The sequence below is a fragment of the Homo sapiens genome, chromosome 3, assembly GCF_000001405.40.
Source record: "Homo sapiens chromosome 3, GRCh38.p14 Primary Assembly".
In the NCBI taxonomy this organism is placed as follows: Eukaryota; Metazoa; Chordata; class Mammalia; order Primates; family Hominidae; genus Homo; species Homo sapiens.
In genome coordinates, this window is record NC_000003.12 from 178,373,935 (window position 1) to 178,389,290 (window position 15,356).

At 37.3% G+C, this 15,356-nt stretch overlaps 1 long non-coding RNA gene across 3 annotated transcripts in view; it reads right to left on the minus strand.

The window, feature by feature from the left end:
- Positions 1 to 11,359, minus strand: part of LOC105374235 (uncharacterized) — a 221,596-nt gene extending 210,237 nt beyond the window's left edge. For all 3 annotated transcript variants that reach the window (NR_188692.1, NR_188690.1, NR_188691.1), the window contains exon 1: positions 11,273 to 11,359. This is a non-coding gene — a long non-coding RNA (uncharacterized LOC105374235). The remainder of the gene's footprint in view (positions 1 to 11,272) is intronic.
- Between the last annotated feature and the right edge of the window lie 3,997 nt (positions 11,360 to 15,356).

A 15,356-nucleotide genomic window follows, 5' to 3' on the forward strand; every position in this document is an offset into this window, starting at 1 on the left:
CTACCTGCCTCTTGGAGTTGTTGTGAATGGTACTAAGATATGCTATGGCTAGGACAGTGCCTTACACACAGTGAATATTCAGCCAAAGATGGTGAGGCTGTTATGGTCCATGCTTTCTTCATATCCTTCTGATTCACATGCTCTACTAGATGATCACGTGCCAAACAATTATGGCTACAGTCCATGGAACTAGAGTTCACACTAACAAGCATGTGGGTTGGGTGAAACACTTACTTCAGGATCTAGTTTAAAGACATCAGTATGTGTTTCTAACCCCACTGATATGGTTTGGATATTTGTCCCCCCAAACTTCATGTTGAAATGTGGTACCCAGTGTTGGAGGTGGGGCCCGTGGGAGGTGTTTTGGGGTCATGGAGGCAGATCTCTCATGGCTTGATGTTGTCCTCACAATAATGAGTGAGTTCTTGCAGGATCTGGTTGTTTAAAAGAGTGTAATACTTTCCTGTGTTCTCTCTCTTTCTCCTGCTCTCACCATGTGACATGCCTGTTCCTACTTGCCTTCCACAGTGAGTAAAAGCTCTCTGAGGCCTGCCTCAGAAGCCAAGCCGATGCTGGCTCCATGCTTTCACAGCCTGCAGAGGCTTGAGCCAATTAAAATGCTTTTCTTTATAATTTACCCAGTCTCAGGTATCCCTTTATTTCTTTATAGCAATGCAAGAATAGCCTAATACATACACCTTAAAAGACAAGACATGCTAGCGAGCCATAACTGCTTAATGAAAAGAACATCACCTAGAATTCCTATCCACTTAGCTGGGTGCTGCCATATCTACCAGTTTGTGTGGAATAGAGAGAAATTGGATTTAACTCTGTCTTGTGTCACTCTTATACCTGACTTCATCAAACTTTCTGAATACATAAATAGTAGGAAAATTGAAAGGTAAGCCCAGGGAAACCGATAAGTATTTCATATTTTTACATAGAATGTTTAAAACCCCAAGGAAATTGGATGAGACAGATTATACCTGGCTGTTTAGAATGTGTTATGAGTAAACTACATTATGGAAATTAATTAGAAGCTTAAGGGAGACGCATTACCAATTTCAGATTCTAATTTAGATGGATTGGGTGGTATGGTAATTTAAATTCACCTCATTTTGTATATTCAAAAGATTGCCACTTTGGGGCAGTTAAGGTAACTTTTCTGATTCCATAGACAGTGTGATATGAGCAGCACTCACCCCAAGCATTCCACGAGGCTATGATTTCCTCCCAGGGCATATTTATACTCTAATAAAATCCTAATTTGAGGATTTATCCGTTTACTGTACAATAGTGATGACAATGTGAGGTTGTGCAAATCCTGGTGCTGCATATTACAGAGAGCCAGCACCTATCTTCCCACAGTGCTTACACTGTATAGCCCCAGAACATCTTTCGTCATGAGATTCATTGTTACAGTGTGGACTCTCAGAAACTGCATACAAAATGAAAAAGAATGACATGAAAGGAGGAACAAATCCTCCTTTTGTGCCATTCTTTCCCATTTGGTACATATATTCTCCACAGGGGCCCTAATGCTGGCGACATTATAGCCCCTCTTCTAGATCTGACCATCATATAGCTGAACTATATGATGCTCCTGAGTACACATCACCAATACACAGACAGTTCTGTAAAAACAACAGACTAGGGGCCCTTGGCAGGACTGGCAAAAATGCTCTCAGCAACAAGGTTGGTATCTTGTCCCTGGAGCGCTTGGTGTATGACTTCTCCTTTCCCAATAGAACTACGACTTTGTCCATCTCCTCATGTAAGAAGACTCCTCACAAACATCTGTTGCCCTCATCACATCTTTGACCTGGACCTGGATCTTACAGATCAATGAGCCAAACTGGCATCCCTGATTGTGTGCAAGTGCCATGGTTTCCCATACATAGTCATAATGAGAACTCAGTGTTCTTTCATATATTTGAGCAAAAATAACATACCCAGATTCATACACATAAAAATAATGCAAATCCTCCTCAAATCTCATAAATGCATATCTTTCTCAATCAAATAAAACTATACTTGAGAAGAAAGTAAATTCATCCAAAGTCATGTTCATTTTGAAGTCACTGAATGCGTGTGTAAAATTACTCTGTCCCCCACACATACTCTAGTAAATATCATCTATGATTAAGATTATCCTCATCATTTTGAGTTCAAGCTTACTTTTACTCTTGCACAAAAATTAGCGAAGTCTCATCTGACAAGGTTGGAGGTGGTTCTTCCATTGAATGGAGTAATCAGGTTCACGTAAAGAGAAATAACACGACATTAGAACGATGTTTTTCCACATTTACCTGATGACTCACTTTTCATATACTTGTATGTGACTATCTCTTTTCTAGGGGACAATGCAATCCTAAAAGATTTCAGCTGACAACAAAAAAGTGTATCAGGATTGAATTAAGATGTGTTAAAATTAACACACTGACTTTTTTTTTTTTCTTATTTCACTCTGTGTGATAAAATACTAATGTGAGACCTAGTGAGCTTTGGAAGGAAGCTTCTCATTTCTGATATTCTTCCTTCTCTCCCCATTACTTTTACTATATAAATCTCAAAGTAAATGGAAGGGGGAATCTCAATGGGTAGAAGCTGTTCCCACTCCCGCTGCTAGAACAAGTAGCGATAGTGCATCCACCTAGGAGTCCTTGTTCATGTCCACATGGCCTCTGCCACTGGGAGAGCAAGGCTGGCTCATCACTCAAGGAACTCACGCTCCCATCTGAATTAATAATAACTGGCATATGAATAGCACTTTTATTTACAAATCCACAAATTTCTTTCATGTATATTATGTGAAATCTGTCCCAAACCCTACAAGTTGGAAATTTTAAGAATTAAAATCTCTTATTTTACAGCTGAGAAAGCAAACTCAGGGTGGTGATTTATCAGGGCATACAGCACATTAATAGTGGAGCTAGGTCTCAAAATTAGATATTCAGATGTAAGGAAAGGTCATGTTGCTAATGTTCTGCACTTTTTTAAGAGTATTTGCATGCCTAAACACAGCCTTTTGCACCACTGTGTGTACTCATGTATCATTACGTGCCTGCATGCCTGTGAAGTAGTCGGTCAGAAGTCTTTCACATAGAGAAGAACAAGGAAACACACACCCTATTTTGGTAAAAAGGAAGAGATGATTGCTGCTTGAATGGGTACATGTGCTTAAATACAGACACATCACACAAAACTCTATCATATCACAGATTTACTTTCTAAAAACAGTTTTCTTACAAACTGATATTTGTATTGTTATGAAATATTTGTATTAAATTATGACCACAGTACAAGTACAGTCCTATGTACCTGTACACCAAGTTAATGCAAAAGAACTACCATCAATAATCCTAGATTTCCCTCTCCATTCACCAGGTTTCCATTAGCTATGGCAACCCAATTTAAGAACATATTGAATGGAAATGAATTAAATTCAACTAGAAAGAAGATAACGCTCTTTATATTTCTTATATTGTTACATCATTTTCATTGTTTCCTTAGGGATGGAGGATGAATAGCATTTGTTCAACATTTTCTAATACAAACATAACTTCAACATACAGTATCTGTTTCAACCCTCCCATTAACCAATTAAATTAAAAGGTAATTTTATTATTCCTGTTTCCCAGATAAAAATATCTGAGTCTCAAAGATGTTCAGTTACTTGTCTCAGACCTCATACTCCTAGATGCCATACCCAGAATCCCAACATAAGTGTCAATTCGTTTTTTTTCCTTTTTAATTTTTTTCTAATTTTTGCAGAAACATAGTAGTTGTATATATTTATGGGATACAAGAGATATTTTGATACAAGCATGCAGTGTGTAATAATCACATCAGGGTAAATAGGGTATTCATCACCTCAAGCATTTATCCTTTGTGTTACAAATGATTCAATCATACTCTTAGTTATTTCAAAATGAACACTTAAATTATTTTTGACTACAGTCCCCCTTTTGTGCTAGCAAATACTAGGTTTTATTCATTCTTTCTAATTTTTTTTATCCATTATCCGATAACTCTTAAATTAATGTGACTTCCTTTTTACCCTGCTACATGTCAGGAGTATCCCAGAAAGAAGAAGAAAGAAGGAAGCTGGACTGCAGGAATTGGGGAAGTAGGCATGACTCTTGTTCCTTGCCGAGTTCTCACTCCCACTGTTGAGCTACCTGTGTCATCCCAATCTTGTCATAAAACAAGGGAGTTTCTGCAGAACAAATCGAAATGGAAAGGAGATGCCAAGCACTCAGGAGGGATCTCTGTCAGGTCACTTAATATCCGGAACGAAAGCACAGGAGTGCCGGATCGAAGAGTTAATGAAGGTGGCTTTCATTGCCACAATAATCTTTATCACCTCCTCCCTTCAATAAAGATATATGCTTAGTAGAAAGTTTGCTTTATATACGAACAGTTTCAACACAACCCCTCATACCCACACTCTTCCTTCCATTCTTTCAACCAGATAATCACACCTACATTTTTTTGTATGGAAATTTTGAGGACACTCACTTGTTTCTGAGATGTTCCTATGTATTGAGGATAATTCTTTTTCACTTCCTAGAAAGGGCTTCCATCCCACTCAGAATAGCTCACAATATACTACTATGGTAGTGATGAGAGAGTGTAAGGTAGAGATCCAAATCTCAGAGACAGGCAAAGGAAAGTTCATATTCAACTTAGACCAAGAAGTTGAAGTGGGAGGATGGGAAGAGGGCAGAACACAATTGGAAAAGTTATGGGGTATTAATAGAAAGTGTCCCGAGTAAAACTCATGCACACATGCCCTAGGTCAAATTCCAAGAGAAAAAAAAAATACACTAGGAAAAATAAATCATTGGGAAAAAAATAGTTAAAAATGACCTCAATACGATGGCAATTTAGGGATGAAATAAAATCAAAAGTGGAAAGAGCTAGAAGGGCTTCATATACTACAAAACCTAAATTAGCTTTGTTTTGGAGAAAGTTTACTAACAGATGCCAGGTTCAACAGAAATGCCTCTGGCAATGGCAGAAACACTAACAAAAGAAATCTGCAGCTGAGAAACAAGCTGCCAGGTCATTAAACGAAGAGGCACGCGGCCGGGCGCGGTGGCTCACGCCTGTAATCCCAGCACTTTGGGAGGCCGAGATGGGCGGATCACCTGAGGTCAAGAGTTCGAGACCATCCTGGCTAACACGGTGAAACCCCGTCTCTACTAAAAATACAAAAACAAAATTAGCCGGGCGTGGTGGTGGGCGCCTGTAGTCCCAGCTACTCTGGAGGCTGAGGCAGGAGAATGGCGTGAACCCGGGAGGCGGAGCTTGCAGTGAGCCGAGATCGCGCCACTGCACTCCAGCCTGGGCAACAGAGGGAGACTGTTTCAAAAAAAAAAAAAAAAAAAAAAGGGCACACTACTTTTGAACCAGCACATTAGAAAAGACCGGTGTCTGTGCACTGGGACATTGCAGGAACTTTCCACATGAAATCTTCCTTTGTGAGATACGTAGAGCTGCCACACACCAAATTTCTGCTTTGGATCCTAGAACTGCAACAAAATAACAATAAAATACAACTGGTATAACTCTTGAAGTTCCTTAAGCAAATTGTAAGCCAAAATTTATTTAACCTGCCCACGTATGATTTTTTTTCTCACACACTTCAAGGAATGCAGCTATATGTGTGGAAGAATTTCGTTCTGGTCAGAACACAGATCCGAGTTTGTATAATTGTTAAAATCGTCATGAAAGCAATCAAAAGTATCTCATTAATTCGTTTATGTTCTCAAATATTTAATAAGAACCTACTATGTACATGTTGAACTCTATTTGACACTGGGAATGCAAAGAGAAATACAGCAGATTTTAAAAAATGATTCATTGGGTTTGGAGCTCCAGATTCTGATAAACCCAGAAACCAAAGGAACCAAAAAAATCCAGAGAATAGCATCATTTGAGGGGCAGCAAGCTCCCAGAGATCAATGAGAATGGTCAGCTTGGAGATCTTTTTAGATCTTTGGAAGCTTGCTCTCTTTAAATGTTTAAAGTGCTGACTTAACAAAGACTGGGTAGATGTGTTCCGTGGGGCACCAGGGGACAAAACCATAGAAGTTATAGGGAGAGACATTTTGACCTAATAAAATTAAGGAGCAAAATGGGCCAGCTTACAAAGGCTTTCAGACCGTGGATATATCCAAGTAGAGGTTGAATAATCAACTCGTTAGAATATCCTAATGGGGCTTTTGGCTCTTGAATGAAGTTAAATTTAAATCTATTAATCTGAGATAGTAAGACCAGTGGTGTTGGAAGACTCAATCTCACTGGTTCCCTTTATATGAAAAAGTAATAAGATTAGCATTTTATAACTTTAAAATTATGCTATGTTATTTGCCTTGAAAATAATTTTAGTAATAAGATTATTAAAAAGTAGACCTATAACAAGCAACAAATACTTCCACCCTTGGGGATTAGGGTGGGGTAATAAATTTCTTCAGTTCCTTATGCTGCTGTATCTCTGATTTCTTTTTTTAAGTCCGTTTGTAATAGTTGTGCCACAAAGTTTTACTCTGAGAAAAGAAGAAGAATAGTGCATCCCCAAGGGCAGGCCTGAGCCTACTTACATATTGGGTACAGTGTGGTCACTAGAAGTACATTGCTGTTTTAGACAGGAATATCTCATTACCACCGGTTGGTCATGAAAGTCATGGTTTGACTACTTTCTGCCCAAGTATGAATTACTTGTATGAATGTTACCTATTTTAATGGAATGTCTGGTCAGTCAGTAGTTATTTTAGTTCTGGGTATTATACGGCAGCTATCTGTAGGCTATTAAATTGCTTTCCAAATCTGTTGAAGTAGCAGTTGTTACAGGATTAACTGGGTCAACAGAGTCTAGAGACTAATAAAGTTGAATCAGAATTGGATGCCTCTATTAGATAACCTTCATCCTCTTTGAAACCATCCAACAAAGTCTTTCATACTCTTGCTTCTCTTTCTTACAAGAGATGCTCTGGTTCTTTATCACTAAAGCCTTTTTATTGTCTTTTTTTTTGACATTTTATTTTCTTCCTGGTATTGGATAAATAAAAAGTACAGCAGGAATACATAAAAGTGGGTAATGAGGAGGGGATAATATCTATCAGAATTAATGTAGTACAGAACTAGATTTAAATATTGTTGGACTAGTGCAAAACCAGACATGTCTAAAAGAGAAGCTTGTCATAAAAGAGATACTTCCAACAAGTGGCAAAGGGAAAATTGCCTAACTACTTGGGGAGGGTAGAATGTTAAATTATTACCTTTTATCGTTATAAGTTTTATCAAGATTAAATAATTACATATAAAGAAATTAAACCATACTGACAGTAGGAGAAAATAAACACTTTATATGGCATCGTGGTGGAGAAAGTCTTTCTAAGCATGATACCAAAAGCAGAAACCAAAAGTACGAGACTCATAAGTACAACTAATTAAAAATTAGGATATCACATATAACAGCAAAGGAAATAATTAAATGCAAACATAAACTCTGAAACTATTTACAACATATATGATGTATTAATACAAAAAATAGCTCTTAAAAATGAATAGAAGCTGAGAAAAAAGTATCCCCCCCAAAATAGCCCTAAGAAATGAAGAAATGATAAGAAGATATTTCTGTGGTTTCTAATATATCTGATACTTATGTGGTTTTCCATATTTTCCTCTTTTAAACGATACTATAATGTGTGTGTTTCTACATATATTAGTGTATTTATTCACAAAGAGAGATTCCTATCTGGTGAGATTAGTCATCCCATGTCTTGACCTTCTCTATATGTATGTGTCTCATTTGCTTCACACAAATTCCAAGTCATCTTCTTCCCTTTGATTTATTTCTATCTATCTAAAATAGACTAATATGGAACTAATGATGTAATTTGTGTGCTAACCAGAGCCCACTCTGAATCACAACCACCAGATGTATCAAAACATTATGCTGTACATTACAAATATATACAATGTTTGCAAATTACAAAAGAAATTAATTAATAAAAAAATAAAAGACAGCCAGGATAGAAAAAACAAATGAGGCACAAATACATATTAATCTTAAAGCCCAGCAGCTGGGGTGTCCCTTCCCATGACTTTATTCAGCTGGAATTCTCCTTCTCTGAGCTTCTCTTTCTCTGAAATCCTTATTCTTATTCAACTGTTCCTCTAAGACAGAATTCTTGTCACATTTATTTGGTCATTCCAGTTGCTAACACAGAACCTGGCATGCAATATGCACTCAATAGTGTTTGATGCACGAATCCATGTGAAGGAATAAGCTAAGTTTCTTTTCTTCTTTGAGGTCATCATGAGAAGATAAGGAGCAAATTTTGTAAAGATAATTGTAAAATGTGTACATCTAGTGAGGAGGTTAGTCCTATCTACAACCCAAACTCCTTTTCCTGCAACCAAAAGGATCCATGTTAGAGGAAGACCTGTGTGCCTAAACTTATATTAGATCCTACCAGTACTCTTCAAGATAAGACAAGACACAGACTATGCCTGGGAGGAGATGGCAATCTAGTGAGATAAGTAAGTTATAAATGCACACATGACACAGACACAAAAATTGAAAAAAAAGAGAAGAGTATGCAGACAAATATTTGTTCAGATTTAAAAGAGGTTTCTGGAATGATTAGGAATGCAGATAACTAATAGGCTGGAGAAACAGTCCACATTGTGCACCACTTTGACCCTGCTCCTTGGCTGTTTTCCACCACAATTAGTTGTCTGGCAACCTTGCAAGATCTTAATAAAAATAACTCATAAGATTTAGTCACATCAGAAAAATCATCAAAATGTGTGATTGCAAATGTTTTGAAAGGGTCATGAGCTAAATAAGCATCTAGGATATACATTTAAAAAATTGCCTTATCTCTTTCATCTCCAAAGAAAACACCAGAAGGATACTGTCATATCTTCGGCACTCTCACCCCATCCTTCAAAATCTATTAATATCACATTGTGAAGTTGGTGCCATTGTCAGGAGTCCAATACAATCCCACAGCATTTCTTTCTTTTGTTTTTTCCTTTCTTGGAGAAGTAACCTTTTTCTAATCTTGTTACACACATTTTCATGCTTTCTAACCTAGTAAATACCAGATGTATTTTTTGCTTGTAATTACATCAGATTTCATGACCTAAAAGAACATGAAATAATATAATTACACTATTTATATAAATAATATACTCAGGAGATTGTGCAAAGCCCCTCACAGTTCACAAAGCCCATTTGCACATAGTTGTTGTCAACTTAAAACCACTCTATGATTTGTTTGGACAGATTATAGTGGGTTTTTTTTTTCCATTTTAGAAAGAAGAAAATTGAAGTTTAGAAATGCTAAGGAAAATTCTCAAGGTTAACAGAGCATGCAAATGGTAAAATGATTCTTGAAAACCATTCATCTGCCTCTAAAATTACGATATCCTGTTCCTATGCGTGGGATGCACAATTGAGAGAAAGAGGGAGAGAGGCAGCTGATCTTCCCTAGTGCCCCTAGCATAGTAGTCGGGAGGTCAGGCAATTTCCTAAACTCAATGTACTATCATAGCAATAACTCAATCCATAACTCCTTCCTTATTATTCTATATTTCGCACTAGAAAAAAAATGGCACTTCTCTGGACTGGCTATATTGTTTACAGGAACTAATACCCTGTTCTTAGGGTCTTCCCAATGCAAAATTGGAAAAAGTATAGAAAAACATTCTCCTGGTATTTTATTACTAAATCTTTAGATATACATCTTAATTTTTGGATGCTTCTATTTCTCTCACAGCCCCAGAAATCCAGCGTTTCTTAGGACTTTCGCTATCCTGAGCAATCTACCAAAACCACCTTCTCTAAGAAGAACCCTATGTACTTCCCTGTTTTGGTCATCTTTTCCATAGAAAGAGGAAAATAAATGAGTTCATACTAAGACATTAATGATAGTAATTTGATAAATGGACTTCTCTGTTAATGGCAAAGCTATTTCTTTTATGAGTCTCTTATTGGTTCATTTCAGATATCAGTGACAGGCTGCAAGGGAAAATATTTGGAAATGGTTAGTCTTACTAGAAACTGCTACCCCTAAACCTCACCATAACATTAATTAGATGGATATTTTTAAGTCTAGCATCCTAGATTTAGATTAATAATTTGTCTATATTGCTTTTAAAATGAAGAATTACATTTTAAATGCTTAGACTATTAAACTGAAATATTGTCTGAATAAAAATAATAAACTGTCATTGACAAATAACCACTTCTACTTTCAACATGTCAGAGAAAACTGTAAAAGACAGAGAAAAGAGACTGGATACTGTGGAAGTTTCCCAGTGGGTCCAAAGGAAATAAAATGTCCCCTTTTCCTGAGCCCATTTAAGCCTTGCTTACATTAACTTTTAGAAAATGCACGGAGAAAATATTTCAGAGAAGGGTCTTACTGGGATAAATTCGTATATTTCTTGGAACTCTGGTAGCCCATGAACGACAGCATATGTTAGTGTTAACCTTGTGTTACATTTCTGAACCAGTGTCCAGCTCAGCCTCTGAGGCCATCTGCTTTCAGCGCTGAAAATAACCAGAGATGACTGAATTCTTGGAACACATTTTTCCTACTGTTTTATTAGAAAAACATTTCCACCCTAATCAATCTCTGTGTTTTACCTCAAGCATATATTTGATGAACATCCTAGGTTTGGTTCTTTACTACACACAGTAGACTTTATATCCCCAGGAAAGCAATATTTGACGTTGGAGAAGTTTCAGTGCACATGCAATGGAATCCTATAAAGTCTCATTTGCTTTGCTCTCTGCTCTCAGGAGGAAAAGGGACATGTACTAAATGAAACCACAAGAGCAGGGAGATAAAGGAGCCCGTGTGCTGGTATTTTCCCTGCATTAATGCTTTCAGCATCCTCCTCACTCATTTAGATGTTCTAGTTATATATTTTTTCCCATATCCCATCTATTGTGTTTTCTTCCCTCTTTAGATGGCTCTTTGTGGCTCTCCTGATTGTCTGTATCTGACGGCTGAGGCACATAATCTAAAATGTGTGCTCAGATAAATGGTGAAAACAGAACATCTGAAAACACGAAAGTATTCCTGGCTGACTTATGATTCAAATAGGATCTTCTTTGTCCCAATTAAGCAAGCCTACTTGAACAAAGATAGCTAAAACATTGTTTTCACACAGACATTTTTAAAAATGTATCAAATAAAGCAGAATAAAAGGACATAGAGGATGATATGGGAAGAACATTACTTACTAAGTCATTGCCTTTAGAAATCTTGAAGACATGTATTGAATTGCTTTGTTTCTGAACTGGATGGAAGCTCTGCAAAAATCCTCCTGTGACTTCTTTCATAGCCTTCATTCAGTTTTATATTGTTCTGAAGGTCCAGGCAGGGAGGATATGTAATTGGACATTTGGTGAATGCAGAGGAGTGAAATTGTGTCCAAAGTTATTAGCTTATCTTAGTTTGAAGAGCAAGGAGAACATTTTATTTCATCTAACTTTTTATAGCAATCAATTAATCCTGTTTCAAGGATAACAACAGAATGTCTTTATTCATTCTCATGGAAACATTGACATCTAGTGGGTCACTGCATTAATGCAGGCCAGCTCAAAAGCTGGGGGAAATTCTCAAATCTTTGTGATGCTCAGTGTGGTACGCTCTCTTTGATTAATTTGGCCCATTGATCTCACTAGGTAGCTGCTGTTGATAATTGTGTATTTTTAAAAAATGATTCAAAGAAAGCTGTAGAAAACAAAATGAACATATCTCACCTATAGCTTTCATGTATGTTATAAATAAATTCTTAAGGACTATTTTACTTGAAGATCTAATTCGTGTTTGTAGGAATCAAAACTCATAATGGTTCACTGAGTTTTACTAATGATAGAAGCTATCTATTCGTGTTAGGAGACCTGCAGAGCCTGGCACAGTAGTTCCCAAACTTTTAAAATTCATAGATGACTTCGATAAACAGTATGAATACTCGGCCAGGAAATTTTATATTTGAGCAGCCACACTAAATTTTGCACACAACCTCAAGGAGTGCATAAAACATTTGAAGGTCAGGCTGTAAAAAACAAACAAAACCTGAACTAGTAATAGTGATAGGAAACTCTTGGAAACTCTTTTATTTATTTATTTATTTATTTATTTATTTATTTATTTATTTATTTATTTATTTATTTATTTTTGAGATGGAGTCTCGCGCTGCTGCCCAGGCTGGAGTGCAGTGGCGCGATCTCGGCTCACTGCAAGCTCCGCCTCCCTTGTTCAAGTGATTCTCCTGCCTCAGCCTCCGGAGTAGCTGAGACTACAGGCGACCCCACCATGCCCGTTTAATTTTTGTATTTTTAGTAGAGACGGGGTTTCCCCATGTTTGCCAGGATGGTCTCCATCTCTTGACCTTGTGATCCCCGCCTGCCTCGGCCTCCCAAAGTGCTGAGATTACAGGCGTGAGCCACTATGCCCGGCCGATAGCAAACTCTGTCATACCACTTACTACGTGTCAGGTACTGTTTTAAGTGCTGTTCATGTATGAGCTCATTTAACCCTCCCAACTCTTCTAAGAAGTAGCTATTATTCTTCACCGTTTCCACAGAAAAAGAAACAGAAACACAGAGACATAAAAATATTGGCTTAAAGCCACACAGTCCCTAGCAGGTAGAGTTAAGACTCAAACCTAGGTAGGCTGGCCCCAAATTCTATGTTCTGTCACACTGCCCAAAGCCTTCAGAGATGGCTAGACAGGCAGATGGAAACCTTAGACACTGGTTTCACTATGGCCAGTCTCTTTAAGCAATCTCTTCAGACTACTGTAATTACTTTCTATCCACCATTGCCTAGAATTGTGTTGCAACAAATAGACATGCATTATCTAATGAGAGGATAAGAAAACAGGCAGAGAAATACGGCAATGTGTTTTGGGCCCCTTAAAATGGAGATACAATGCAAATTTGCATTACTAGGACTGGCAAGTCCTGTAGTCTTAGGCTGACAGCCACTGGAAATAAAAATGACCCACACATCGATCACAAAAACACTGAACTTGAGCAAATATTGTCAGTTCTGGGGTGGCAGGAGATGTGATAGATCTTCTTTGTGTTATAAGACCTTTAATCTTTCACCTTCATACTTTGTACTTCAAAAAGTCCCTTCAAAGCAAACTTTCCTGTGGTCACATTAGAAGAGAAGAGTTACAGCATCTGCTCCCTAGTATGCAATCCTCCTGGAGTGCAATGGTAATGAGGTTAGGGAGAAGTGTTCAAGTACATACTAGGTTACTGCCATCCAAGATGTCCCAGCTGGATCATCCTACTCACATCCTCCCCCAGAGTCTGCTGGGAGACTAAAGAAAAGGGCTGTTGGACAGCCAGAAACCTTTCTGAGTAGTGTCTCTCCCTTAAACCCCTAAACACTTGGCTGCGATAAAGAATCTCCTTTTGAATCCATTTCTAGATGGCAAGAGAGGGAGTGGAAGGCCATTTCCGCCTCTTTGAAAAGACCTGTTTATTTCCAAGGAACCATTTATAAATATGAGAGTCTCTCAATTACCTTTTTCATACAATTTTCCTTTGAAATGGATATGGTGAAAACTTGAAAAGCATTCTTTTTGAATTCTAGGAAGTTTTCCCTTTCTCACCTTTGGCACAAATATTTAACCAAGCTAAGAATCATAATTGCTCTTTCACAAATGAAACTGGGTTTGTTAACACAGAATTTCTGATGCAGATGAAGAGAAAGAGAAGTGAACATCCACGGATGGTAAAACATTTTCTCCAGAGTATCCTGACGAATCCGAAAGAAAGGCACACGTGTTTTCCAATTAAGAAAATGCCTGCCGAGCAATGGGTAATGCCATATGTTTGAGTCTCTTAAATGGAAATGAATGGTCAAAAGCTTTTTGCTAAAAAAGAAAAGAAAGGGGGTTGCTATTGCTTTTGTGGCCTGGTAATCCAAACTTCTGAAATCTCGTCACTTCATTTCTGTGAACGCCACTATTATCTTAAGTGCACTTGGACTATTTAATATTGATGTCCTAATTGTATAATTAATACAAGCAAATTTACCCTTCTCTACTTTGCCCTTAAAAATACCATTTTTCTCATTCAAAAAGAGAACTCAGTAGATTCCCAGCATAGTTTTCAGTGATTTAATCTTCTGTGATAAAGTCCTGTGCTTTGTACTTCACCGCTGGACTATCAATGTCTCCTCACAAACCCTTGAGGGATGAAATCAAAAGGCTTTTGAGATTCAGAATAGACTCCATCTACTGCCTCACCATTTCCTTATTCTTTTCTGAGCGATATGAAAGACTTGCTCAATAAATGTTAAATGAATAATAAAGGTCAGAGGAAGGTCATAATTTCTTTTGAAAGAGGCACATTTTCTTAAGCCCATCAAATTGAAATTTTCTAACTACAGGGGAAATATGTACCCTCATTAACAAAGAATGGTCCTTTCATTTTCCACTCAGTACACAGACTTGTGTTCTCCTGATCTAGGTATCCATACAGAACCATATTAAAAGGGACTGGGACTCAATATTTTGTAAAAATGGTAGAAGGTTTTACTGTAAAGAACTGAAACCTGCACTATAATGAGAATCAGATGTGGCTTACAACATATAGGACACAACTAAGAAAGACTGTTAGGTTGCTTCTGAGACTGAATACCTCTTTGCTAAGGACTGAGGGAACTCCTTTGCCAATGGAGTTAAAGGACTGAGTTCCGCTTTTGTCTGGTTCCCCTTTGGTGGGTGCTATGTTGCTATTGCTCCGTTAGAGTTTGTGCCAAGACCTTTAAAACTCAGACTAGAACTTTGTTTAGCTACTCATTGAAATAATGAAAATAATAAATAATGTTAGCATATATATATATATATATATATATACTCTTATGACTATAATATAAGTAATATCATTCATTCAGGGTTTACCGTACTAAGTGTTCTAGTAAACACAGCATTGTGTTTATTTCACTTAGTTATCCCCTAGTAGAAGATAAGTTTCATGAATGCAGGGACATTTTTTTCTTATACACTATGGAACCACCCATGCCTGGAACACTGTCTACTGTGTAGCTCGTTGAATTAATAAATGAATGTTCGTGGTATTACAATATATATTTGACAGATGAAAAAAATTAAGGCTAATCAATGTTGCTTTGCCTCTACATTATCAAAGAACAAGTCCCTTTGCACACAGCTAGTAAGTTTTGGGCTGAGGTATAACTCAGTTCTATCTAACTTCAAAAACCAACAAATATATTTCAAAGTAATGAAGTCTATTGCCATGAAAAGCATTGCTTTCCTTCCAGATGTTATTGGTAAATTAT